The 25,577-nt window shown below is 40.2% G+C and overlaps 1 protein-coding gene across 19 annotated transcripts in view, besides 1 other annotated feature; it reads left to right on the plus strand.

Annotated features, from left to right (window-relative positions):
* The window catches only part of BBS9 (Bardet-Biedl syndrome 9), a 506,483-nt gene that overhangs the window by 383,681 nt on the left and 97,225 nt on the right, over nucleotides 1-25,577 (plus strand). For all 19 annotated transcript variants that reach the window (NR_145412.1, NR_145411.1, NR_145413.3 and 16 more), the window contains one exon: nucleotides 20,989-21,211. Coding sequence is in view for 16 of the 19 variants with exons in the window: in NM_001348036.1 (NP_001334965.1) it covers nucleotides 20,989-21,211 (223 nt within the window). In the remaining 3 variants the exon portion in view is untranslated. The remainder of the gene's footprint in view (nucleotides 1-20,988; nucleotides 21,212-25,577) is intronic.
* Nucleotides 16,589-16,810: a silencer, noted in NCBI's record as "fragment chr7:33569166-33569387 (GRCh37/hg19 assembly coordinates)". NCBI's record gives its function as "represses an EF-1alpha promoter that drives an FKBP-Casp9 reporter gene in an ReSE screen in K562 erythroleukemia cells {active_cell/tissue: K562}" and the evidence as "EXISTENCE:reporter gene assay evidence [ECO:0000049][PMID:32094911]".

Consider the following 25,577-nt stretch of genomic DNA (forward strand, 5'->3'; position numbering starts at 1 on the left):
CTGGACTCACAGCCCAGTGCTCTCCCATCACACACCTGTGTACATACTTTACATGGCTCTTTTGGCCCCTGTTCAGATTGAACTCCAGTGCCAGGCATTGAGTACCTTCAGTCACTTGGCTCTACCATATCTCATTTCTAAAGCTCATTTTATGTGACTCCCCGGCTACCCCCTTCATTCTGGGAAATGTGAACCATGGGTACACAGCTTCTTCCATCAAGCCAGAGCGAAGAAGGATTTTTTCTTCACTTAAAATTGTGTCTCCTGTCTACCCTTCCATCTATTCTCTATTCTCTTTAAGAAGTAAATCAATGTTCATTTCCTCCCTCTTTATTCTGGCTTCCCATTCTCTTGTGAATTTCACTTGGATGGTGTGATGCAATTTATTTCTCATTAAGTACTCTAAAATTATTATATGTACTTGTCCTATATTCTAATAAATATAAGGAAATATTCTACATTCCCACAGAATTAAAGCAATTAAACATATAGTTGTATACAAGTATTGCTTGATACTCCATGTATTTTCATAATGTCTCACATAATTACAGATGCTTGTCCAATAACTGTGTAGTTTTTAATCATTTTTTGAAAAGGAAGTATACTACCTCTGTTTCCACACCCCTCCCCTTTTTCTAAGATACCTCAAATATTTTTGGGTTTTATAAGAACAAAACCTGGTCTCTCCTGTACAGATGCTAAAAGATATAGATAGATTATAGTCAAACCACCATAAATAAATATTCACATACATGTTCATTCACATATCCTCATAATTCAAGTCAATATACACAAAAATTTCCAATCTTACCAGTGATGAATATATACAAGTGAAAGCAACTGTTAGGTACACTTCACCTATATTGATTTAGCCAAATTTGTTAATATATAGTGCTGACAGACATATGGTGAAATCGACATACCCACTTATTTGTGATATGGTCTTTCCTGAGAGTCCTCTAGGAAAATGTCAATCATAAAACTAATCTTGTACTTGGCATCAGTCATCTAACTTAATGCACTAAAAGCAGTAACCTAAAATCCATTTGGTACCATAATGTTTACATTTAGAATTTGAATTATGAAGCACTGAAAGCAACCTAAAAGCTAATAGTTGCAAAATATAAACTGTGGCATATCAGTTGAACAGAATTAGGTCAGACTGGGGTTCAAATCCCTTTTGGAACAAATACTTAACTAGCTCTGTGTCCTTAGCAAGTGGTGGAACTCACGGAGTATTGGTTTCCTTATCTGTACGGTGGTGAACTAGACTATTCCCCAAGGACTGGTTCTGCTTTGGAGAGGTGAGAGTGGCCATTCGGATTTGATTTCAGGTTGCTTTCTTTTTATATTCTTACTGAACCAGCAAACAAACAGTACAGAAGGGGAACATGATATTAAGAAAGTTAATGAATATGGTTCTTTAGTGCCTTTCTCATCAAGGGGTGACTGGAGTTTGATGGAAAACATAGTCTGTACAGAGTGAGGAAATGGCCATTTCTGAGGTGCTCAGAACCACAGGCTCACCCCTTTCACAGGGTTAGGATGGGAGCTGTTACAGGGAGTTTCCTGTACTTTAAAAAAGTTAAACAACAGAATCCAGCCTTTGCTAGCTTTGGGTACTGTAAATGATTTACTGTAACATAAAACACATCGAGTGAGAAAAATATAGAATAAGTTTTTTCTTCTTCAATAAGATATGCAAATATATATCCAAATTATGTTGCTTACACAAAGTAACTAAAAATGGCGTTGCTTGTTTGGTCTCAATGAATTAAACCACACATTGAGTTTCCCTGGGTTATCTTCACTATCATTTCAGATTCAGGGTTTTGGTTCTTAATTACTGATATCCTTTGGAAGACAATAATAATAACAACAATAATAATACAGTGGTGCTAAATGCTGTAAAAACTGCATTAGATGCATGACCCCATTTGGCATCTACTTTTCAAAGGTGTGCATGTTTCACGAGGACACTCTATATATACATCTTAAGGCTTTGTAAGGACTAATTGAGATAAAGTACATGAAGTTCCAAGTAATGGTGCCTGGCATGTGACAGGCATCCAAGAATTGGTAGTTACTATTGCCACTGTATGACAACAATGCCATCTACTCTAAGTTATGGCATTGCTTTGTGGACGAATCAGGAAAAAAAAACCAGACACTGCCAATTAAACTATGATGTAATAGTTTTATCCCTTACTTTTATTTTTGTTTTTGAAAGAGCTCTCTTAGACTTATTTAGACATACATTTTATCATACATTACTCTTGTGCCTGAATAAGAAGAAAGATACAAGCAACATAAACTGAGTAAGGTATCCCTGAAACTTCTTCACATTCAAAGTTTGATTCCCCTAAATCATGGCAAGTCATTAAACTACAGCTCATCGCTGTGTTTTTCCATGTAGCATTGTCCCTCCCGTGTACTATAACGAGCATTGTTGATGCGGCATTTCTTGGGTGTGCCACTGTTGCCTTCATGATTTCTTTTTTCTGAGCCTCTTATATCCTTTCAAAAACTTTCCTTTTCGACTAAACTCAAAACTTCATTTTTCCTCCTCAGTTGAACTGTACGTTGCCTGAAGTTAAGAAGCCTCTGTTCAAAGTCAGCAAGAAATTTTAGGCAAATTGATGTTTAATGCTCTCACAATAGTCCTACATGATACATTAATTAATTAAACCACATCTATTTCAGGGATTTGCCAGTTTTTCCTGAGCTTAGTTGTATTGCTTGACCTTGACATAGGTTAGTGATCTCTGTGCGTGTCTTTCAGTAACAAAGCATAACACAGTTTATTCTATCTGGATGTATTTTCTTGTCTCACATCCTGGAAAGCTTTCAGCTTAGCTTTTGCTTTGTGAGAAAATATGAAATTGCTGTCATTCTTCAGTCATGAATGTTTGCCTCACTCAGTTCAACTTTATACTTCTAACTACACTATTTCCATACCTTTCTGTGCACACAGTAACTTTTTTGCTCAATGATAAGTCATGGTGTGGTTTTAAAAGATAATTTAAATGGTAATTAATTCATTGAGGAGTATTAACATTGCACACAAGTCAGTGGACGTGACATAATATGAACTGCTAAGATAAAGGCTGTACATGCTCAGGCAATGAAAACTATAGCATGACCGGAACCTGAAAGCCAGAAGTTATTATATGCCACTGAGTATAAGACACAACCCTACTTCTGAGATGTGGGGGAGAAATGTCCTATAATTGATGGAACATAGGCCGGGCGCGGTGGCTCACACCTGTAATCCCAGCACTTTGGGAGGCTGTGGCGGGTAGATCATGAGGTCAGGAGTTCAAGACCAGCCTGGCCAAGATGGTGAAACCCCATCTTTACTAAAAATACAAAAATTGGCCTGGTGCGGTGGCAGGCACCTGTAATCCCAGCTACTTGGGAGGCTGAGGCAGGAGAATCACTGGAACCCGGGAGGCAGAGGTTGCAGTGAGCTAAAATTGCACCACTGCACTCCAGCCTGGGCAGCAGAGCAATTTCATCTCCAAAAAAAAAAAAAAAAAAAAAAAAGAGTTGATGGAACACATTTGTAAGCACAGAGTAAAGAAATTATCACTGTAGTCTTGTTTTAATCAAGAGGGAATTTATGAGTGGTTTGAATTGGGGACAGGAAGTTATAGAAAAAGGCAAGTCCATGACTTCCTATCTTGGAGTAGGTGTTTTTGACTAGAAGCACATTTCATATACAATAAATAGGAAAAATCTTACCAGTTGTTGCTTTTTGAAGAGAAAGCCATGTATAAACAGTGAGAAGTAGTCAAGACTGAGTCTCTATTGGTATCATTTTAAATTTGGTCTATTGCCTAACATAGGAAATTTAGGTTTAGATCTCACTGATAAGTAGTTTGTGAGAACCGAATGAACACAGATCTTCTCACCCACAACAATGAATAAGAATTTGTGGATGAAATCACTAACAGTGTTAACAGGAATATGTTTCATTTTTTGCATTTGGAGTGGTGAAACTCCCCAGCTGCCTGAGAAATAAAAATCTAGCTTGTATTGTTTAACGGCAGTTGTTAGTTCCTTTCTAACCTATTGGGTCTGAAGTCAAGGTCATAAACATTGGTTAGCAGTCTTAGAACTAAGTCCAGTGAACTTCACTAACTAGATTTCTCTATTTTGTAAAGAAAATGGGAGAAGAGTTAAACACACACCCAAATAAGATATGCCAAAGGAATATAAGAAAATTAACTTTTATTGAGCATTATTATGTGCTAGGCATTGATCAAGGACTTTTCATATGTTATTTCATTTAATCCTCACCATGTCCCTTTGAAGTAGGCAGTGGTAGCACATGCTGTGCATGTCCCATTCCTATCTCTTAACCTCTCACCATTCCTGAATGCTTCCACCTGCTCAACACCTGCAGTTTTTTGCCTGAGGGCTATCCCTGTTTGGCAGAGGCTACATAGCCACCATGCTCAGCCAATGACTGATAGACTTAGTAGATTAATGCCCAGGTTCCCTCATCCTTTATGCAGGGTAAGTGTGAGAGTTATGTTATACACCATCCTCCAGAGTTCTCTGGCAGGAGTGAGCACCCGTTGCCGCTCAACAGCATACACCCTTTATTGCTTTTTCTCCACTTTTCATCACGTTTTGCCACTCCCCATTGGCACTTCTTGGCTCTGCTCTCAAGTCAACTACTCGGGCTTTTATCTTTGTCTCAGGACTATTAGTTCCAATTTATAGATGAGGAAATGAGTCCAAGGCCACATATCTAGAAAATAACAGAGGCAAGATTTGAACCCACACTAAGGGGCCTAACAAAAATGAACAGTCTGACTCAATGGAGTAACTTTGGATAATAGGAGTGACTGCTCCAAGTATTCTCAATGATGAGTGCCTGATCATACTGAATTTTTACTCTTCTCCAATCTATTTAACAAGGATAAATGTAGATTTATATTTTGTAGTTATATGTGCATGTGCTTAAGCGTATACCAGAAAAATGCTGGCACATTTAATCAACTCATGGCTTGCTTCATATAACACTAAAACAAACTCAAGCTATATAATTAATTTTTGTACAAAACTGTTGGGGAAGTTTTATATTATTTGTATTTACAGTATTGTATAGATCTTTCTGTCATGAATAACTTTTATTTGACAAATAATTCTTCATATTATTCTAGGATGAGGCTAGGGCATGAGAGCTAAAACAAATAATTACTAAAGCACTTTACTGTACTTCTCTAAGTACATTCCATTTTCTACATCATTATATTTTTGTATATATTCTTTTTTTTTTTTTTTTTTTTTTTTGAGATGGAGTCCCACCCTGTCGCCAGGCTGGAGTGCACTGGCACAATCCCGGCTCACTGCAACCTCTGCCTCCCGGGTTCAAACGATTCTCCTGCCTCAGCCTCCCGAGTAGCTGGGATTACAGGCGTGCGCCACTACGCCCAGCTAATTTTTGTACTTTTAATAGAGACGGGGTTTCATCATGTTGGCCAGAATGGTCTTGATCTCTTGACCTTGTGATCCGCCCGCCTCGGCCTCCCAAAGTGCTGGGATTACAGGCGTGAGCCACCGCGCCCGGCCTATATTCTTATATTATCACTTGAGTGTCAGCTACTTCAAGGTAGGATCCATATCTGATTCACCTTTTTGGAAGAAAAAAACCCCCCATAGTATTTAGTGTGTCTTGTGCTAGTTGGCTCTAAATAAATATTTTTAAAATAAATGACTGTATAGACTCAAATTTAAACTTTATTTGATAGACAATGATATTTAAAATTAGGATGAATGTGTGGGTAAACATACTACTTCATCACTATTACTCTACAGTTTTGAGATTTGTGCTGCTCCCCTACTGTTATCTTAGCTTGATAGCTGTGAAAATTGACACTAACATTGAATGATGTGCAGCTCTGTCATTCCAGATGCAATTCTAAATATTTTTTTTCTCCAGACTTGATTTCTATTTGAAGAAAATAGAAATAGAAATCTAGCATATGGACCTTCTGGAACTGTTTCATATCCATTGGCGGTCTTGATCAAGAGAGAAATAAATAGCCATGTCTTAAAATAGTGAAGTTTCTGGGTGGTCCTGAAAAATCCAAAGTAATTAAAGAGAGGAGAGAAAAAAAGAAAGAAAAGAAACCTGTACTGCTTTTCACTTAAATCAGTGGTTTCATGTATTTTTAGACACGTTTTTCCCTGAGTTCAGTCATTCCTTGTTCTTTGAGATTATTAAGGACACATCATTGTCAGGAGAGGAGTTGGTACCTTTAGCTTACTCACATGGTTCTTCTCTTGTCCTAGGTGGCAATAAAGTTTTCCCCAGACTCTGTCAAATATATGGGCACCTGAGGAGTCTTATGTGACCCCTTGTGTTGTATGTCTTGATAATAGGAGTAGCTGCTCCAAGTATTCTCAATGATGAGTGCCTGCAATGAGTGTTTGTACTTCAGATTCATTAGAATCATGTCTGACCATTGTTATGTTTTCGAGAGCCATGGTGTCCAAAGGCTATAACCATAATGTCAGTTACAGTAGTCTATGAAGGTGCTAAAAGCTTTGGTGGACTCTTGTAAAAGTTTCGCCCAACCAAACTGGCACAGAGCATTGTGCTTTTTTTTTATTATGCAGTAAAATCTCATTTAATTATATGCAAGTTATTCATTTGGATAAAGAAGCTGATTTAAATTTTGGTTCTGCGAATATGTTAATTATGACCATGAATCTTCTAGGGGAAGAAGTCATTTCTGAAGCCCAGTAAAGTAAAAGGAGCCTAAGCAGATCTAATGATAACAGATTGAAAGACAAACATAACGAAATGGGAAAGACGGGCTCTGGGCCACAGTGGTCAAGTGTGGTATTTACAGCTATATAGTCCTGGATTATATTACAGCTCCCACTTTTAATAATTATGACATTTTCAGTGAAGTACCTTACATCTAAATCCTCAGTTGGAAGTTATAATACCCACTCATAGGGTAGTCGAGAGAATTAATTGAAATAATATTTGTAAGATTCTCAGCACATAAGAGGTCTGAAATAGGTTTTTTTTTTTTTTTTGGATGGAGTCTTGCTCTGTTGCCCAGGCTAGAGTGCAGTGATGCGATCTCAGCTCACCGCAACCTCCGCTTCTGGGGTTTAAGCGATTCTCCTGCCTCAGCCTCTTGAGTAGCTGGGATTACAGGCACCTGACACTGCACCCAACTAATTTTTGTAGTTTTACAAAATACAAAACGAGGGTTCACCGTCTTGGCCAGGCTGGTCTCGAACTCCTGACCTTGTGATCTACCTGCCTCGGCCTCCCAAAGTGCTGGGATTACATGCGTGAGCCACTGTGCCCGGCCCCAAAATAGTTTTTACTTCTGTTGCTGTTGCTGCTATTTCTGCTGCTGTTATTCAAGTGAACCCGCACAGAAAAGATAAACTTTAGAGAGAACTCTCACAAGTAAGAATAATGGTATGGGAATAACTACCTACATTTGCTAAATATGTCTCATTAAATCTTAGTAAGCATCTGGCAAGGAAAATATTGTCCTGGTTTTTTACTGATGAGGGAACTGAGATACAGAGAACTAAAATAATTTTCCCAGAGACATTAAGCTTATGTTTAAAGCTTAAATTTTCTCAGAGACATAAAGCCACAGTCTAGGTCTTCTGACTTGTAATCCAATGTACTTTCATGGCCCATACTTCCCCTTATGTGGAAATATATAAATAAGTGCAAGTCATAGTGTGAGATGGTGAATAAGTGAAGGCTCAGTGTTGCAGGCCACATAGCTAATGACCACAGAGGAAAAGGCAGCCTTAAACTCAGGGTTCGTCTTTCTTGGGCCTCCATTGTCCCCTGGCTCTTGACCTGGTAATTTATCACTATCTTGTTAGCTTTCCTGTGCCTTCAAAGGAATGATTTTTATATGTTCTTTTCCAGTTGTTCTCACTGGGAAATCTGGTCCAAGTGATGTAATTTACCACCACCAGAAACAGCTTTCCCCTGGATTTGCATTATCAATTTGATTTACCAGTCTTTATTTTTTTTTGTAAGTTGCTTCTGAGTAGTGCAGGTAACTGGAAGCTTTTGCCTGAACTAAACTTTAATGCTTAGTCAAGGTGACTGGCTCCATCAGACATCATTAGTATTTTGCTTTGTTTTAAAACTCATTATCTCCATCCAGGATCACGTTTTATAATAATTCAGGTAATCTACTTTGTGTTCCTCCATCTAAAGAATTTGGGGTTGGAATGGGAGTACAGGTCAAATAGAAATGTTCCTGGCAAAATATAAACTTACAAAAGGGATCAGAGTGGGTTGGTTTGCAGCAGCTTTCTGCTTGCACTGCAGCCGAACCTTCTGAAGGTCTCTTAGCTTGTATTTGTTAAGGAGGTTTTAGATTTTCATCCAATAGGAGGCAGTGTGCTTGATTTTCCACAAAATGGTGTGGATAAACTTGCACACTGCTCTACCGTTGGTTGAAACCTCAATTAAGTTTTTTCAGCTTGTGAGTTGTGACAAAGATACGGAGAACTCCAAAAGTCCAATAGATTGTTTCCATTTAAAATAAAAAGGAATGGTACTGGGGAATGAGAGTTAGTAGATTACATGTGGAATTTTCTTCATTTTATGATGAGTTGAAAAAATTAAAGCTGATTTTTTTCAGTGCTTTATTTTATAAAAACATGAATATGATTTTAAACTTAAGATGGCATATAGACCATATAACTTGCTTTCATTTTTATGTTATTTTATTTTCTATTTTACATTCAAAGGGCTGTTTTCTTTTTCTTTTTTTTTTTATTATACTTTAAGTTTTAGGGTACATGTGCACCTTGTGCAGGTTAGTTACATATGTATACATGTGCCATGCTGGTGCGCTGCACACACTAACTCATCATCTAGCATTAGGTATATCTCCCAATGCTATCCCTCCCCCCTCCCCCCACCCCACCACAGTCCCCAGAGTGTGATATTCCCCTTCCTGTGTCCATGTGATCTCATTGTTCAGTTCCCACCTATGAGTGAGAATATGCGGTGTTTGGTTTTTTGTTCTCGCGATAGTTTACTGAGAATGATGATTTCCAATTTCATCCATGTCCCTACAAAGGACATGAATTCATCATTTTTTATGGCTGCATAGTATTCCATGGTGTATATGTGCCACATTTTCTTAATCCAGTCTATCATTGTTGGACATTTGGGTTGGTTCCAATTCTTTGCTATTGTGAATAATGCTGCAGTAAACATACCTGTGCATGTGTCTTTATAGCAGCAAGATTTATAGTCCTTTGGGTATATACCCAGTAATCGGATTGTTGGGTCAAATGGTATTTCTAGTTCTAGATCCCTGAGGAATCGCCACACTGACTTCCACAATGGTTGAACTAGTTTACAGTCCCACCAACAGTGTAAAAGTGTTCCTATTTCTCCACATCCTCTCCAGCACCTGTTGTTTCCTGACTTTTTAATGATTGCCATTCTAACTGGTGTGAGATGGTATCTCATTGTGGTTTTGATTTGCATTTCTCTGATGGCCAGTGATGATGAGCATTTTTTCATGTGTTTTTTGGCTGCATAAACGTCTTCTTTTGAGAAGTGTCTGTTCATGTCCTTTGCCCACTTTTTGATGGGGTTGTTTGTTTTTTTCTTGTAAACTTGTTTGAGTTCATTGTAGATTCTGGATATTAGCCCTTTGTCAGATGAGTAGCTTGCGAAAATTTTCTCCCATTTTGTAGGTTGCCTGTTCACTCTGATGGTAGTTTCTTTTGCTGTGCAGAAGCTCTTTAGTTTAATTAGATCCCATTTGTCAATTGTGTCTTTTGTTGCCATTGCTTTTGGTGTTTTGGACATGAAGTCCTTGCCCATGCCTATGTCCTGAATGGTGATGCCTAGGTTTTCTTCTAGGGTTTTTATGGTTTTAGGTCTAACGTTTAAGTCTTTAATCCATCTTGAATTGATTTTTGTATAAGGTGTAAGGAAGGGATCCAGTTTCAGCTTTCTACATATGGCTAGCCAGTTTTCCCAGCACCATTTATTAAATAGGGAATCCTTTCCCCATTGCTTGTTTTTCTCAGGTTTGTCAAAGATCAGATAGCTGTAGATATGCGGCATTATTTCTGAGGGCTCTGTTCTGTTCCATTGATCTATATCTCTGTTTTGGTACCAGTACCATGCTGTTTTGGTTACTGTAGCCTTGTAGTATAGTTTGAAGTCAGGTAGTGTGATGCCTCCAGCTTTGTTCTTTTGGCTTAGGATTGCCTTGGTGATGCGGGCTCTTTTTTGGTTGCATATGAACTTTAAAGTAGTTTTTTCCAATTCTGTGAAGAAAGTCATTGGTAGCTTGATGGGGATGGCATTGAATCTGTAAATTACCTTGGGCAGTATGGCCATTTTCACGATATTGATTCTTCCTACCCATGAGCATGGAATGTTCTTCCATTTGTTTGTATCCTCTTTTATTTCCTTGAGCAGTGGTTTGTAGTTCTCCTTGAAGAGGTCCTTCACATCCCTTGTAAGTTGGATTCCTAGGTATTTTATTCTCTTTGAAGCAATTGTGAATGGGAGTTCACTCATGATTTGGCTCTCTGTTTGTCTGTTATTGGTGTATAAGAATGCTTGTGATTTTTGTACATTGATTTTGTATCCTGAGACTTTGCTGAAGTTGCTTATCAGCTTAAGGAGATTTTGGGCTGAGACAGTGGGGTTTTCTAGATATACAATCATGTCATCTGCAAACAGGGACAATTTGACTTCCTCTTTTCCTAATTGAATACCCTTTATTTCCTTCTCCTGCCTAATTGCCCTGGCCAGAACTTCCAACACTATGTTGAATAGGAGTGGTGAGAGAGGGCATCCCTGTCTTGTGCCAGTTTTCAAAGGGAATGCTTCCAGTTTTTGCCCATTCAGTATGATATTGGCTGTGGGTTTGTCATAGATAGCTCTTATTATTTTGAAATACGTCCCATCAATACCTAATTTATTGAGAGTTTTTAGCATGAAGGGTTGTTGAATTTTGTCAAAGGCTTTTTCTGCATCTGTTGAGATAATCATGTGGTTTTTGTCTTTGGCTCTGTTTATATGCTGGATTACATTTATTGATTTGCGTATATTGAACCAGCCTTGCATCCCAGGGATGAAGCCCACTTGATCATGGTGGATAAGCTTTTTGATGTGCTGCTGGATTCGTTTTGCCAGTATTTTATTGAGGATTTTTGCATCAATGTTCATCAAGGATATTGGTCTAAAATTCTCTTTTTTGGTTGTGTCTCTGCCCAGCTTTGGTATCAGAATGATGCTGGCCTCATAAAATGAGTTAGGGAGGATTCCCTCTTTTTCTGTTGATTGGAATAGTTTCAGAAGGAATGGTACCAGTTCCTCCTTGTACCTCTGATAGTATTCGGCTGTGAATCCATCTGGTCCTGGACTCTTTTTGGTTGGTAAACTATTGATTATTGCCACAATTTCAGCTCCTGTTATTGGTTTATTCAGAGATTCAACTTCTTCCTGGTTTAGTCTTGGGAGGGTGTATGTGTCGAGGAATTTATCCATTTCTTCTAGATTTTCTAGTTTATTTGCGTAGAGGTGTTTGCAGTATTCTCTGATGGTAGTTTGCATTTCTGTGGGATCGGTGGTGATATCCCCTTTATCATTTTTTATTGCGTCTATTTGATTCTTCTCTCTTTTTTTCTTTATTAGTCTTGCTAGCGGTCTATCAATTTTGTTGATCCTTTCAAAAAACCAGCTCCTGGATTCATTGATTTTTTGAAGGGTTTTTGTGTCTCTATTTCCTTCAGTTCTGCTCTGATTTTAGTTATTTCTTGCCTTCTTCTAGCTTTTGAATGTGTTTGCTCTTGCTTTTCTAGTTCTTTTAATTGTGATGTTAGGGTGTCAATTTTGGATCTTTCCTGCTTTCTCTTGTGGGCATTTAGTGCTATAAATTTCCCTGTACGCACTGCTTTGAATGCATCCCAGAGATTCTGGTATGTTGTGTCTTTGTTCTCATTGGTTTCAAAGAACATCTTTATTTCTGCCTTCATTTTGTTATGTATCCAGTAGTCATTCAGGAGCAGGTTGTTCAGTTTCCATGTAGTTGAGCGGTTTTGAGTGAGATTCTTAATCCTGAGTTCTAGTTTGATTGCACTGTGGTCTGAGAGATAGTTTGTTATAAATTCTGTTCTTTTACATTTGCTGAGGAGAGCTTAGTTCCAAGTATGTGGTCAATTTTGGAATAGGTGTGGTGTGGTGCTGAAAAAAATGTATATTCTGTTGATTTGGGGTGGAGAGTTCTGTAGATGTCTATTAGGTCCGCTTGGTGCAGAGCTGAGTTCAATTCCTGGGTATCCTTGTTGACTTTCTGTCTCGTTGATCTGTCTAATGTTGACAGTGGGGTGTTAAAGTCTCCCATTATTAATGTGTGGGAGTCTAAGTCTCTTTGTAGGTCACTCAGGACTTGCTTTATGAATCTTGGTGCTCCTGTATTGGGTGCATATATATTTAGGATAGTTAGCTCTTCTTGTTGAATTGATCCCTTTACCATTATGTAATGGCCTTCTTTGTCTCTTTTGATCTTTGTTGGTTTAAAGTCTGTTTTATCAGAGACTAGGATTGCAACCCCTGCCTTTTTTTGTTTTCCATTTGCTTAGTAGATCTTCCTCCATCCTTTTATTTTGAGCCTATGTGTGTCTCTGCACGTGAGATGGGTTTCCTGAATACAGCACACTGATGGGTCTTGACTCTTTATCCAATTTGCCAGTCTGTGTCTTTTAATTGGAGCATTTAGTCCATTTACATTTAAAGTTAATATTGTTATGTGTGAATTTGATCCTGTCATTATGATGTTAGCTGGTGATTTTGCTCGTTAGTTGATGCAGTTTCTTCCTAGTCTCGATGGTCTTTACATTTTGGCATGATTTTGCAGCGGCTGGTACAGGTTGTTCCTTTCCATGTTTAGCGCTTCCTTCCGGAGCTCTTTTAGGGCAGGCCTGGTGGTGACAAAATCTCTCAGCATTTGCTTGTCTGTAAAGTATTTTATTTCTCCTTCACTTATGAAGCTTAGTGTGGCTGGATATGAAATTCTGGGTTGAAAATTCTTTTCTTTAAGAATGTTGAATATTGGCCTCCACTCTCTTCTGGCTTGTAGGGTTTCTGCTGAGAGATCCGCTGTTAGTCTGATGGGCTTCCCTTTGAGGGTAACCCGACCTTTCTCTCTGGCTGCCCTTAACATTTTTTCCTACATTTCAACTTTGGTGAATCTGACAATTATGTGTCTTGGAGTTGCTCTTCTGGAGGAGTATCTTTGTGGCGTTCTCTGTATTTCCTGAATCTGAACATTGGCCTGCCTTGCTAGATTGGGGAAATTCTCCTGGATAATATCCTGTAGAGTGTTTTCCAACTCGGTTCCATTCTCCCCATCACTTTCAGATACACCAATCAGACGTAGATTTGGTCTTTTCACATAGTCCCATATTTCTTGGAGGCTTTGCTCATTTCTTTTTATTCTTTTTTCTCTAAACTTCCTTCTCGCTTCATTTCATTCATTTCATCTTCCATTGCTGATACCCTTTCTTCCAGTTGATCACATCAGCTCCTGAGGCTTCTGCATTCTTCACGTAGTTCTCGAGCCTTGGTTTTCAGCTCCATCAGCTCCTTTAAGCACTTCTCTGTATTGGTTATTCTAGTTATACATTCTTCTTAATTTTTTTCAAAGTTTTCAACCTCTTTGCCTTTGGTTTGAATGTCCTCCCGTAGCTCAGAGTAATTTGATCGTCTGAAGCCTTCTTCTCTCAGCTCGTCAAAGTCATTCTCCATCCAGCTTTGTTCCGTTGCTGGTGAGGAGCTGCGTTCCTTTGGAGGAGGAGAGGCCCTCTGCTTTTTAGAGTTTCCAGTTTTTCTGTTCTGTTTTTTCCCCATCTTTGTGGTTTTATCTACTTTTGGTCTTTGATGATGGTGATGTACAGATGGGTTTTTGGTGTGGATGTCCTTTCTGTTTGTTAGTTTTCCTTCTAACAGACAGGACCCTCAGCTGCAGGTCTGTTGCAATACCCTGCCGTGTGAGGTGTCAGTGTGCCCCTGTTGGGGGGTGCCTCCCAGTTAGGCTGCTCGGGGGTCAGGGGTCAGGCACCCACTTGAGGAGGCAGTCTGCCTCTTCTCAGATCTCCAGCTGCGTACTGGGAGAACCGCTGCTCTCTTCAAAGCTGTCAGACAGGGACATTTAAGTCTGCAGAGGTTACTGCTGTCTTTTTGTTTGTCTGTGCCCTGCCCCCAGAGGTGGAGCCTACAGAAGCAGGCAGGCCTCCTTGAGTTGTGTTGGGCTCCCCCCAGTTCGAGCTTCCTGGCTGCTTTGTTTACCTAAGCAAGCCTGGGCAATGGTGGGCGCCCCTCCCCCAGCCTCGCTGCCGCCTTGCAGTGTGATCTCAGACTGCTGTGCTAGCAATCAGCGAGACTCCGTGGGCGTAGGACCCTCCGAGCCAGGTGTGGGATATAGTCTCGTGGTGCGCCGTTTTTTAAGCGGGTCTGAAAAGCGCAATATTCGGGTGGGAGTGACCCGATTTTCCAGGTGCGTCCGTCACCCCTTTCTTTGACTCGGAAAGGGAACTCCCTGACCCCTTGCGCTTCCCAAGTGAGGCAATGCCTCGCCCTGCTTCGGCTCGCGCACGGTGCGCACACCCACTGACCTGCGCCCACTGTCTGGCACTCCCTAGTGAGATGAACCAGGTACCTCAGATGGAAATGCAGAAATCACCCGTCTTCTGCGTCGCTCACGCTGGGAGCTGTAGACCGGAGCTGTTTCTATTTGGCCATCTTGGCTCCTCCTCTCGGGCTGTTTTATTTTTCAAAGGTGAATTGCTCAACATTTTGAGCCCTCTTTGCATGACAAGGGGATTTCACTGATTACAGTCAAGCAAATAATATTTGGAAATAATCTGAACCTAGATGTTTCCTGAAAAGGCCCTGTACTTTCCAAGATATTTAATTTAGAACTAAAGTACCAAGTTTTATTTGTTCTGGGGTTTACAATAACCCATTATACGATTAGCTTTAGATATAATATTTAGATATAATCTAATAAGTATTTAGATATAATGTAATACAATTCCATACAATATGATACAAAGTAATAACCATAATCTTCTGTGGATCAATTATAAATACCAAACACTTTTCATTTTGCATCCTTTACATCTATTGAAGAGGAAATTTTTTTCCCTTTAATACAGTTTGTTATTAAGATAAATGAATATGATATGAAGGTTGTTTCGCCTTCATATATGCAATGCAACATGGGCCATTTCTGAGAGTCTTCTCTTTTCACTTGAAATCTGGACTCCTGCCACAAAATCTCCATTTGTTCTTTTAACAGGTCTCGTGGTTTTTTGTTTGTTTGTTTTTGTTTTTTAACCTTTTCTCTCTCTCTTAGGTTTAACTGTGTACACATTTGGTAATAAATGTTACTGTGGCATTTTGTGGTTTTTCCCTATACCACTGTAGTTAAGGATGTGGTAGTGTTTCTATTATAAACATAGGTTTGTAGGAGTTTATAATTTGTTTGAAAAAAAGTTTAAGGATATTACTTGGAAATTTAGATTTCAATTACATACTTCTATTTTCTGATTTTAAAAAAAAGTAGGATTGAATATATTTTCTCATTTCATAGTCTCTTCCACTTAAGATTTCAGAGTGCCGTACCACTTATATAAGTTTGGCATAATGAATAGTGTTATTGCTGTTTTGTGGAGACCTCACGTGTACCCTAGAGAGATTAAATGAGTTATCTAAGCTCACACAGTGAAGGGGCAGATGAGGTGAGTGAGGTTAAGTCAGAACTCAGGAGCCTCGGGACAGCTATCATCAACTCAACTGTTTTGATTCACAGGTGGCATGGGAATACTTTCTTAGTTTATTTTGTGCTTTGGTTACTTTGGTCGATACCCTAGGAAATTAACTTTACAAGTGTGGTCAAACTTTCTGCTTCTTACTGTTTCTAATAAGCCACTTGCTTGATCTGGTATTTAGGCCTATTGACCAGTGGAGACTAGCAGGGTAGTAAAGCAAAGCAGTCAGAAATTCAGCTGTGGCTCTCTGGTCTCTGGATAGCAAGAAGCATAGCTCAGCTGAATTCAGTCAGGAGGAGCAGACTAGGCAAGGCCAGGTCCTTGAATTTAAAGAGCTGGCTCACAGAAAAAGGGCACACCAGCAATCACACTGGTACACAAAGGCATCTGGGACCAGCATGGACTGTAGGAGCCTCTGCACAGGCTGGTAAGATGTGGAAACAGGGGACTGGGCAGCCATGTTGGGGGATGCATACAGCAGGCAACTTGGCATTGGAGAAGTCAGGTAGCAGGCAGGGCCTCGGCCCCTGAGTCCGGTTCCTTGGAGGGATCTTGCAGAAGCTAGGCAGCTATCTATCAAGGAGTGACACTTTCAGCAGGCTCCTAAGGCAGGGGCTCTGGTAGAGGACTTGGGTAAAGCCAAGGTCTGGAAACAAAGGAAAACCCAGTTATCAATGCTAGACTAGACAAAGTAAACCAAAAAATCCCCACAAAACCCAATGGATAAGTTAATTTCCAATAACGACAAGGGCTGTGGAAAAGATAAAGTAGTGTAACATGCACATTTAACTAACACCTTCTCCCTTCCCTTCCCTCCCCTCCTCTCCCATCCCCTTCCCTTCCCCAGTTGCCTCCCACTCCCCCACCGCTGTTGTTTTCTAAAAGCCATACACAGGTCAACCTGGAATTTACAGCAAATTGTGGATTTGAGGACTATAACAAAAATCATTTCTCACTGAAGAGCACATGCCCAATTCCCTTCCAGAAATTTTTAGTGCTATATTTCCCAAATTAAGATTTTCTTTTACTCTCACAATATAAGACAAAAATACTAGTATGATTGATATTTATCTTTAAAAGATAAAGGTTAGGTATGTGCATGTAGTATGTGTATGTATTTAGACATTAAAACTGAACATTAGCCTTACCAATTTAAGGGCTATGAATAAAGGTAATGAGCTCAAATACCAAAAAGGTGTTTAAAATAGCTTACCTTTAAGGTACTTCTCACACCTGAGATTCTAGATTCCACAGTTTTATTTCATATTTCCATAGGTAAGTATGCTACATGTTTGATCAGTGAATTATCACATTGTATTTTTATTTAACAAAACTCTCAAAGGCTCTTTTTTTGTCTCAGAGATATTCCTTTTAGTTTTATATTTGAATTTATGTAGCAATTCAGTCCCTCCAAGTAATAACTCTGTATTTTAGTGGCAATCTTTCTAAAGTACTGGCATCATGCCTCATCTATATTAAAGAAATATACCATGCCAAATACCTAAACATGACATGGTTTTTGACTTGATCTGCAAGTTGGCATCAGGAAAATAAATTCTGTAGTACTCTGTATTAACTAAATGTCATATCTACTTAAATTATCTAATATGTTACTGTAATCTATTTATGATACAGTAGTTTGCTTAAATGAATGACAGTATGAACTATTTTAATGCTGAAATGACTGCAGAGCATACAAATGCCAAATTATATTCAAAGGATTTTTTTCTTCTTTACTCCAGAGGTCTTTGTCAATGGCTCCAATTGAAAACATGCCCTCTCCAGTGATGTCTGGGTTACTATTTTGTCTTCATTTATCTCTTCCCATTATTACTGAAATTCAAACTCAATTCTAGATATTAGTCTAGTTTAGATTTTGGTAGTAGTAAAGAGATGTCTTTGTAACAACCAGTGTTTATTATTCTTTAGTGATTTGGGGTAGGAAGCTGTTTTTATGGTCTTTTAGGTCTCTTGAATCTGTTGAAAGGATTTTCAAGATGACTTTAAAATCATTTACTTGTTTCCTAACTTGCCTAGTGACACCTACAGGTGGGTCAATAGAAATGGGCCAATAGAGTGAAAAGTCCCGATTAACCCATTATGGCAATCAGTGGGAAGTTCTCTAGTGGAAATATGTAGAGTCTGCACTTTGATCTGAAGAACCAACTGCAGGGCCAGACATGGTGGCTCATGCCTGCAATCCTAGCACTTTTGGAGGCCAAAGCAAGCAGATCATCTGAGGTCAGGAGTTCAAGACCAGCCTGGCCAACACAGTGAAACCCCATCTCTACTAAAAATACAAAAATTAGCCAGATGTGGTGACACCCGCCTGTAATCCCAGCTACTCAGGAGGCTGAGACAGGAGAATCACTTGAACCTGGGAGGAGGAAGTTGCAGTGAGCTGAGATCACGCCATTGCACTCTAGCCTGGGCAACAAGAGCTAAACTCTGTCTCAATAGAGAGAGGGAGACAGAGAGAGCGAGCCTCATAAACCTAGAAGAAGAGATGTGGCAAGTGTGGCAAAGACCTGGGGCTTAGGTGTCAGTGCACTCAATGTGAATCAAGAATGTAATCCAACTGCCAAGAGAGCAGAGGCAACTGGAGGCCAGGCTGGCAGGAGAATTCCTAGAAAAAAGGAGGGAGGGCTGTGGGATACCTACACTCCAAGCCGCAGCCCAGTGTTTTGGGGTCAGTCTGGGGTTCTCTATTTAGCTGTATAAATTTTTAAGTGTTTCAAATTGGAGCTCATTCAAAGAAGAGTGGTCAGGATGGAGAAAAAACTTGAAACTCAGTTTATATAAGGAAGAACTAGAGGAACTAGGATGTTTATTCTGGAGGAGAGGGTACAGAATTGCTGTCTCCACAGATAAAATGGGCTGTCATGTAGAAGAGAGGTTAGATTTATTCTGCATGCCTCTGGAGGGTAGAAGAAGGGCCAATGGGGTAGACTTTGGCTCAGTGCGGGAATAGTTTTCTGTTGGTTACACATGTCCCTGAAAGGAGTGAACTGCCTCAAAAAGTAGTGATTTTGGATCTTGAAGACAGCTATGCCTAGGCAGATGGTTGCCGTTGTATAAATGATCCTGGGAAAACCCCCACGAGACTAGACATAAAGATCTCCAAAGCTCTCCCAACTTTAAGGCCCTGGTTTTATATCTCACCATCTCTGTGCAGCAAACATATTTCTTGACCATCCTCTGTATACCAAGAACAGTGTGGGGATGTGGAGAACTCCAGTCACTCTCAGGGAATACCAGACATGCAAACAGCACCCACGTCACAGGGTGACAAGAGCTATGATGCATCTGGGTGTGTGAAGTCTCAGAGCCCCAAAGAGGGCCCACCCATCAACCCTTGGATGGCAATGCCTGAGCAAGTCATTAAATGGGAGTTGGCCAGCTAAAGAATAGAGGTTAGGGCATTGTAGCATGAGCGACGGCCATGTGCAGAGGCCTAAGGGAGAGACAGTGTGGGTGCAGGTGGATGGGAACAGAATACAGTGGAGCAAGAGCTGGAGCAGAAAGTTCCTTAAATGCCAGTCTGACCATTTGAATTTAGGAGTTTGTATTAGTCTGTTCTCATGCAGCTATAAGGAAATACCTGAAACTGGGTAATTTATAAAGAAAAGAGGTTTAATTGACTCACAGTTCTGCATGGCTGGGGAGATGTCGGGAAACTTACAGTCATTGCAGAAGGAACCTCTTCACAGGGCAGCAGGAGAGAGAATGAGTGCCAGCAGGGGAGATGCCAGATGCTTATTAAACCATCAGATCTCATGAAAACTCACTATCACGAGAACAGCATGAGGGTAGCCACCTCCATGATTCAGTTACCTCCCACTGGGTCCCTCCCATGACACGTGGGGTTATGGGAACTACAAAATGAGATGTCGGTGGGGACACAGCCAAACCATATCATAGTTGAAGCTTGGGAGTAACCTTATCTGATTTGCATATTTGAATGGTGGCTCAAATGATAAGTTTGAGGATGGAATGATGGGTTCCAGATGAACCTTCTCTCTGAGTCTCAGGGCTCTTACTTCTAATATAAGGGACTTGCACTGTTCCGCAGTATTCTATGATCATAAATTCATTTCTTGTCGTTCTTTATAATTGTATTGGATGGTCAGGCCCATGGTGCTCTAGGCCTTACCAGCCTTTGTGTACAGATGGAGTCACATTCACAGCAACACCCAGATTTCACTCATGCTTTGCTTCCTTGTTCTGCTTCTTAGGACCTCCAGATCCCCACAAAGATCTTACCCAGTTATTCCTGGGAGCCTCTGGGGATGCCTAAAGGGAGCTCCTAAACTGACCCCTCCTGCTCTTTACCTCATACTCCTTGTTGCCAGTGTTAGCTGAACCCACCTGAGGGTGGTGCCTCCCCATGCCAGTCCTGCTGGTGCCAGTGCTCTCCATGACAATGCTGAGGTCCCTGCCTTGTGCTGACGTTCCTGAATTGCAGCTGTCACTGCACTTTTCTAGGTTTTTCACTGCAGCGCAGCCACACTGTTCCCAACAAAAGTGGGGGCAATGGCCTACTTCCTGTGGGTCATTTACCGTCACCTGGACAGTGAGCAGTACTAGGCAGGCCCTGTGTCTCACACGATCCTTCTTGCAATAGCTCCTTTGTTTCTGCCTATAACCCCAAGGCTGTGGAACCAGTACCTGAGGGAGACACCAGGGTTTTCCCTCCATTCCAGTTTCCCCCAGGGTATCCAAAGGTCCTCCTTCTCCTGGCCCGCTTTCCTTTAGCCGAAGATAAGAAAGATAAGGCAAAACAAACTATAATCCTAGCAGCTTTACCCACCAGATCATTAAACAGACGTGTGCCTGATACTCTTTTTGTTGTTACTCATTACTCTATGCCTGGCTCAGAGCTAAACCCTTCTCATAGATCTCCAACCCTTGGAGGGACAGACTGTTAACATCCTCATTTGTAGATGAGGATGAGGCTAAGAGGAATTAAGTAACTTGCTCAAGGTCAAACAGGTGACAGAGCCAGAATTCCAAACCAGCCTAGTCTGGAATATTCCAGATACCACACTCTTCACAGGTTCCCAACACTTGAACATAAACACTCAATAATCTGTATAATACATCAAGTGCCCACTTTTCTTATTGTCATCTTTGTATTAATTCAAAATTGGCTTTTGTATCCAGGGCTGGGAAGAAACGGTGGATGCCGCCATTTCCCACCTGTTGAAGACTTGCCTGTCGAAGAGTTCTAAGGAGCAGGCTTTGAACCTCAACAGCCAGCTGAACATACCCAAAGACACAAGCCAACTGAAGAAACATATCACCTTGCTCTGCGATAGATTATCCAAAGGTGGCCGTCTCTGCCTAAGTACCGATGCAGCAGCCCCACAGACCATGGTCATGCCAGGTAAGAGCTCTGTCCATGCTCCCTAATCACAATTGTACTTCTCCTAAATTAGAGGAATGTGCCTGTGGTTGTATTTGGGGTTTAAATTTCATATTAAAGTGATGATAGCCAAGAAAATTGATTTCACGTTTCCCCTCTGACATCCCAGGGTAACCCCTTGAATAAATATCCCTGAGATATTTGCTTGCTAGACATTTCCAGAATGGTATGTCTTTTTTCTTCTCTCTGCTTTTAAATATATGATCCATTTTGTTTTGCTTCTAACTAATAAAAAGTGGATTAGAAGATAAACTATTTTTAAGAAAAAGTTTTACTAAATGTGATCTCGCGATACAATATTTCGTAAATGTAAATAGCATGATACAAGCAACTAATGTAATCCAGATGAGTCCAGTCTCTTCTGCTGTTTGCTTGGATTGTGGTCATCAGAATAAGGGGGAAGAGACAAAGTGAAAGATGAGGATCAAGAGATGTGAGCAGGCTTCAGAGCCCAGGCACCCATGGGCCAGCAAGGAGAGAGATTCCACTTGCCCCTCCATGGGCAGTCAGTGATGGTCGTGGGCACCCAGGGCTGTCCTTCCCATGGTCATAGGGGCTGAGCAGTCAGTCGTGCAGCCCTCAGGTCTCTTAGGCGCAGCAGTTCCCAACTCCTGTTTCCCTCTTCCTAGCCTCTCTGTGGCAGCAGCAAGGAGCATTACATCAATGAATTAATTGATGCAGCAGCTATAGCATCTCTTTCCTCCTACAGCAAGAACCACAGTGTGGGAAGTGGTGTGGTTTTCTCTTCTTCCTTCTTACATGCCTTTTCTTTACTTCCCCGCCCCCATTCCCTCTCTGGTAGTCTTGCTGTTGCTTCCTTTTCCCCCTCACTCAGCATTCCTAGAAGTGAAAAGGAATGCAAGTGAAATTGTAAAAGATAAACATGGAGACAGCATAGCATGATCTAATAGGCACAGACTGTGGAGACAGACAGAACAATGCTTGGATCCTGCCTCTTTTTATCCATTACTACTTATATGACCCTGAGTATGTTACTTTCTTTTCTAGAGTCTTCATGTCTTCCTAAAAAAATGAATGTAATAACGCTTGCCCTGCCGCTGGGGCCCTATGAGTTTATCAAGCACCTAGCACAATGCTTGGAACAGAGACACTCAAAAAATTTAAGCTGTAATTATTATCGTTGTTATGGATATATGCATGATTCAGCCTTTAAATTTAGAGGTGGAAAAATAGCTGGTTTGGGGTTATGGATTCTATATTCTATGATTTGAATATCTTTACCTCAACTATACATAGGTAGAAGCCAACTTTATTCCAAATAATATTTTTTATTTGGCCTTTTATAATAGAAATGCTTTTCTATAGAGAAATAGTTCTGACATTGTTTGCCTTCATTTAGAACCTCTTTATCTTGCCCTGTAACACCCTCTTAACTGTTCCACTTGTTCATCTTCTGTCCACTGTTACAGGATTGTTTTCCTAAGAGATATTTAGGCTTAATGAGATAGTAAATGAAAACTATTCATTATAATCAGTATCAGTTTATGACTCTCCCTCCCTGCTTGCCCACAGGAAAAACAAAGGAGACTTGAGGGAAAAGGGCAGATACATTAATTTTACAAAAAAGAGAGAGAGAGAAAAAAAATTTGAAGAGGGATGGGATGGCCCATCTGATTGGCTGATTACCTGTGAGTTCAGGCTGCAGCAGCCCCAAATTCTCTTCTCAGGTCCCTGTCTGAGCTTTCCTGTTCAGGGATCCTCAAATCCCTGTCTTAGTCGTTTTTGTTTAAATAACTAGATTTGTAAGTAACCTAAGGGCTGTGTCCGTATCTAGGATGTGGAACATTTTAAAACCTCTGTGCAAAGTTTTTAAATGTATGGAAGTAAAGGACAGAGAAAGAAGGAAAAGAAGGAAGGGAGAAAGAAATGAAAAGAAGAAAGATGGACAGTGTGTTTGTTCACAGTCCAGGGCGGGCCATCAGTCAGATTTATGCCTGGCCTGGCTGAGTTCGTTCTGTTGGAGAGATTCAGGCTGTGTGCATGGGCAATCAGGGTCACAGTCGCAATGCCTTGCCTTTACTTGCCGACGACCCGCTTGCCACTCTGTGGTTGAGTGGCTCTCCCTCCCACTTGTCTTGATCTAATCAGAATAGTGAGGTTTTAAAAAATTGTTAAATCAGCACTTGTTGTCATTAACATGCTTAATTATTGCCTATACTACTTTTCTTCCCTATAACTCAGATTTTTCCCATGCTTTATCTCTGTATTGGCATACTTTTGAGGTAGAAGAGACATGTAGAATTATTGCTGTCTTACAAATAGAAAATGGAGGCAGGAAAATTGAAATCTCTTGCCTTGGGGTTTCATGGTTACTGGAAGGGTTAGATCTAGAATCCAAATCTCCCAGCCCACTGTGCTTCCCTCTAGACCACACAGACCACAGTGGTACAGATTTGTTTTTAACCAGAGCCTCCTCCTGTGTAAGCTGTTCTGTGATTCGGCCTTCCCCCCGCCCCCCGCCTCCCCCCACCCCACTTAAATTGGTCTAGCAGTGTGAAAGGAAAAGGGCAGAAATAGTTTCACACAGTCTCTTTTCTTTTCTTTGCTATGAGAAATATATTAAAGATTTATCTTATATTTGTTTTGTGCTTAATTTTTATTATGTCCAAAGGTGACATGATAACATTATCATGAGTATTTCTTATTAAGAAATACTGTGAGGAGTTATTTCTGCTTCAAGCCTGTAATTGTGCAGTTTACAATGTTGGTTTAGCTCCAGTAGTTGTATCAGAATATACAAAGTGGCATATTAGAAAGGACTGGATTACTGAATAAGCATAAAAGTTTTTTTTGCAGAGATGATCTTTTTTTAAGATTTAGTTGGGACCTTCAAAATCGTCTGGTTCACCTCCCTCACTTAACAGCTGAGGTAACGAAGGTCTAAGAAGGTGAAGTGAATAAGTGTTCAGTATTAAAAGGCAGGAGTGTGTGTAATTTTGCCATGTTCCCTATTAAATTGCAGATGGATAAACATCTCAGAATAAAAAACCTTTGGTCTTTTCTAGCCTCATGACTTTATGAGCCCAGCACCTTGGCTGTGCCCTTTTTTTGCTCTAGCGAAGGCCATGGTGACAACATCCTCCCTGGCGTCCAGAGTTTGAAAATCTTTCCCAGTGGGAATTACCTTATGAACTTCTTTGCCTTACATTTCTCTTGCTTGACTTTTACCAATTCTCTATCAGTTTTTCCCTTAACCTTTTCTGGTGAACTTTTTGTTGTTGTTGCAGAGCTATCAAATTTATTTCTCTCATCTGTAGCTCTGGTGTTCACATCTTTCTGCTGGTGAATATAGCTTGTAAGGAATCTACTTTCGTTAAATATCTATTTTCCAGTCTCAGCTGTATGCATTCTACTCTTAGAGCAGAAGTCACAAAGGGCCACCTGATTAGTGTTTTTTAAAAATCTGAGTGTAAGTGATTTAGTGGTCTATCTGGCCTTTTCATGCATATATGTTCCCAACCTTCTCCCTGCAGCTGCCTAGGACTAAAAGACTTGCTGTATTTTGCAGGAGGCTTCCTTTTATAACCTCAGTATCTAGGGCAATATTTCAATAGCCCTAATTATAGCAAAGATTTGAACCTCTCAAGCATATATGCAAAACTTAATGTATACATGAGTGGGCCTAACTCATGATATTTGAAGACTTATCATTTTAACCTCATGAACACTGGAGCTTTTGTCACCTCTATGCTTTTCTTAAACTTAATTTCAACTAGGTGATGCTTTGCCTAAGAAATAATATAGATAAGTGACGGCCCATCAGATAGAAGCTTGGAGAGCAAATGCTGTAGGCACCACAGCAGGGCAGGCATAGAAAGCTGGGCAAGGAAAAGGGGTGTAAAGACAATCCAGGCTGATCAGGTGCCTCAAGTGAACATTCTCTTAATGTGATCAAATGACTTCACATGTCATAATGGGCCGTAGCTTCAGCTGTATTTTCTTTCACACTGCCAGATTCCTGGGCTAAAAGGAAGCCAAGAGGAGGGAGTAAAAGGAAGCAAAGAAGATTTGATAAATAAGATTAGGTATCTTATATAATCCATATATTTTCATAGATATGGATTGAAAAAGTTATCATTTTGAGATGTGGTAGGGACCACCCAGGAATTAGCATTTTGTGCATCTTTATTGTATTAAGTGGATGGGAGAAAAGACAGTATGAATCTGAATACAGAGTATAAATGTGAATAAGATGTCTATTCTAGCCTTTTGAGAGAGGGATTTTAAATTCTTTTTAGTATTTAAAACTTGAGTCAATGACCTTTTGCCTTAAGGATTTGATATTATTTTGAAGCTACTTCCAATT

Source organism: Homo sapiens, chromosome 7 (assembly GCF_000001405.40).
Source record: "Homo sapiens chromosome 7, GRCh38.p14 Primary Assembly".
Taxonomy (NCBI): domain Eukaryota; kingdom Metazoa; phylum Chordata; class Mammalia; order Primates; family Hominidae; genus Homo; species Homo sapiens.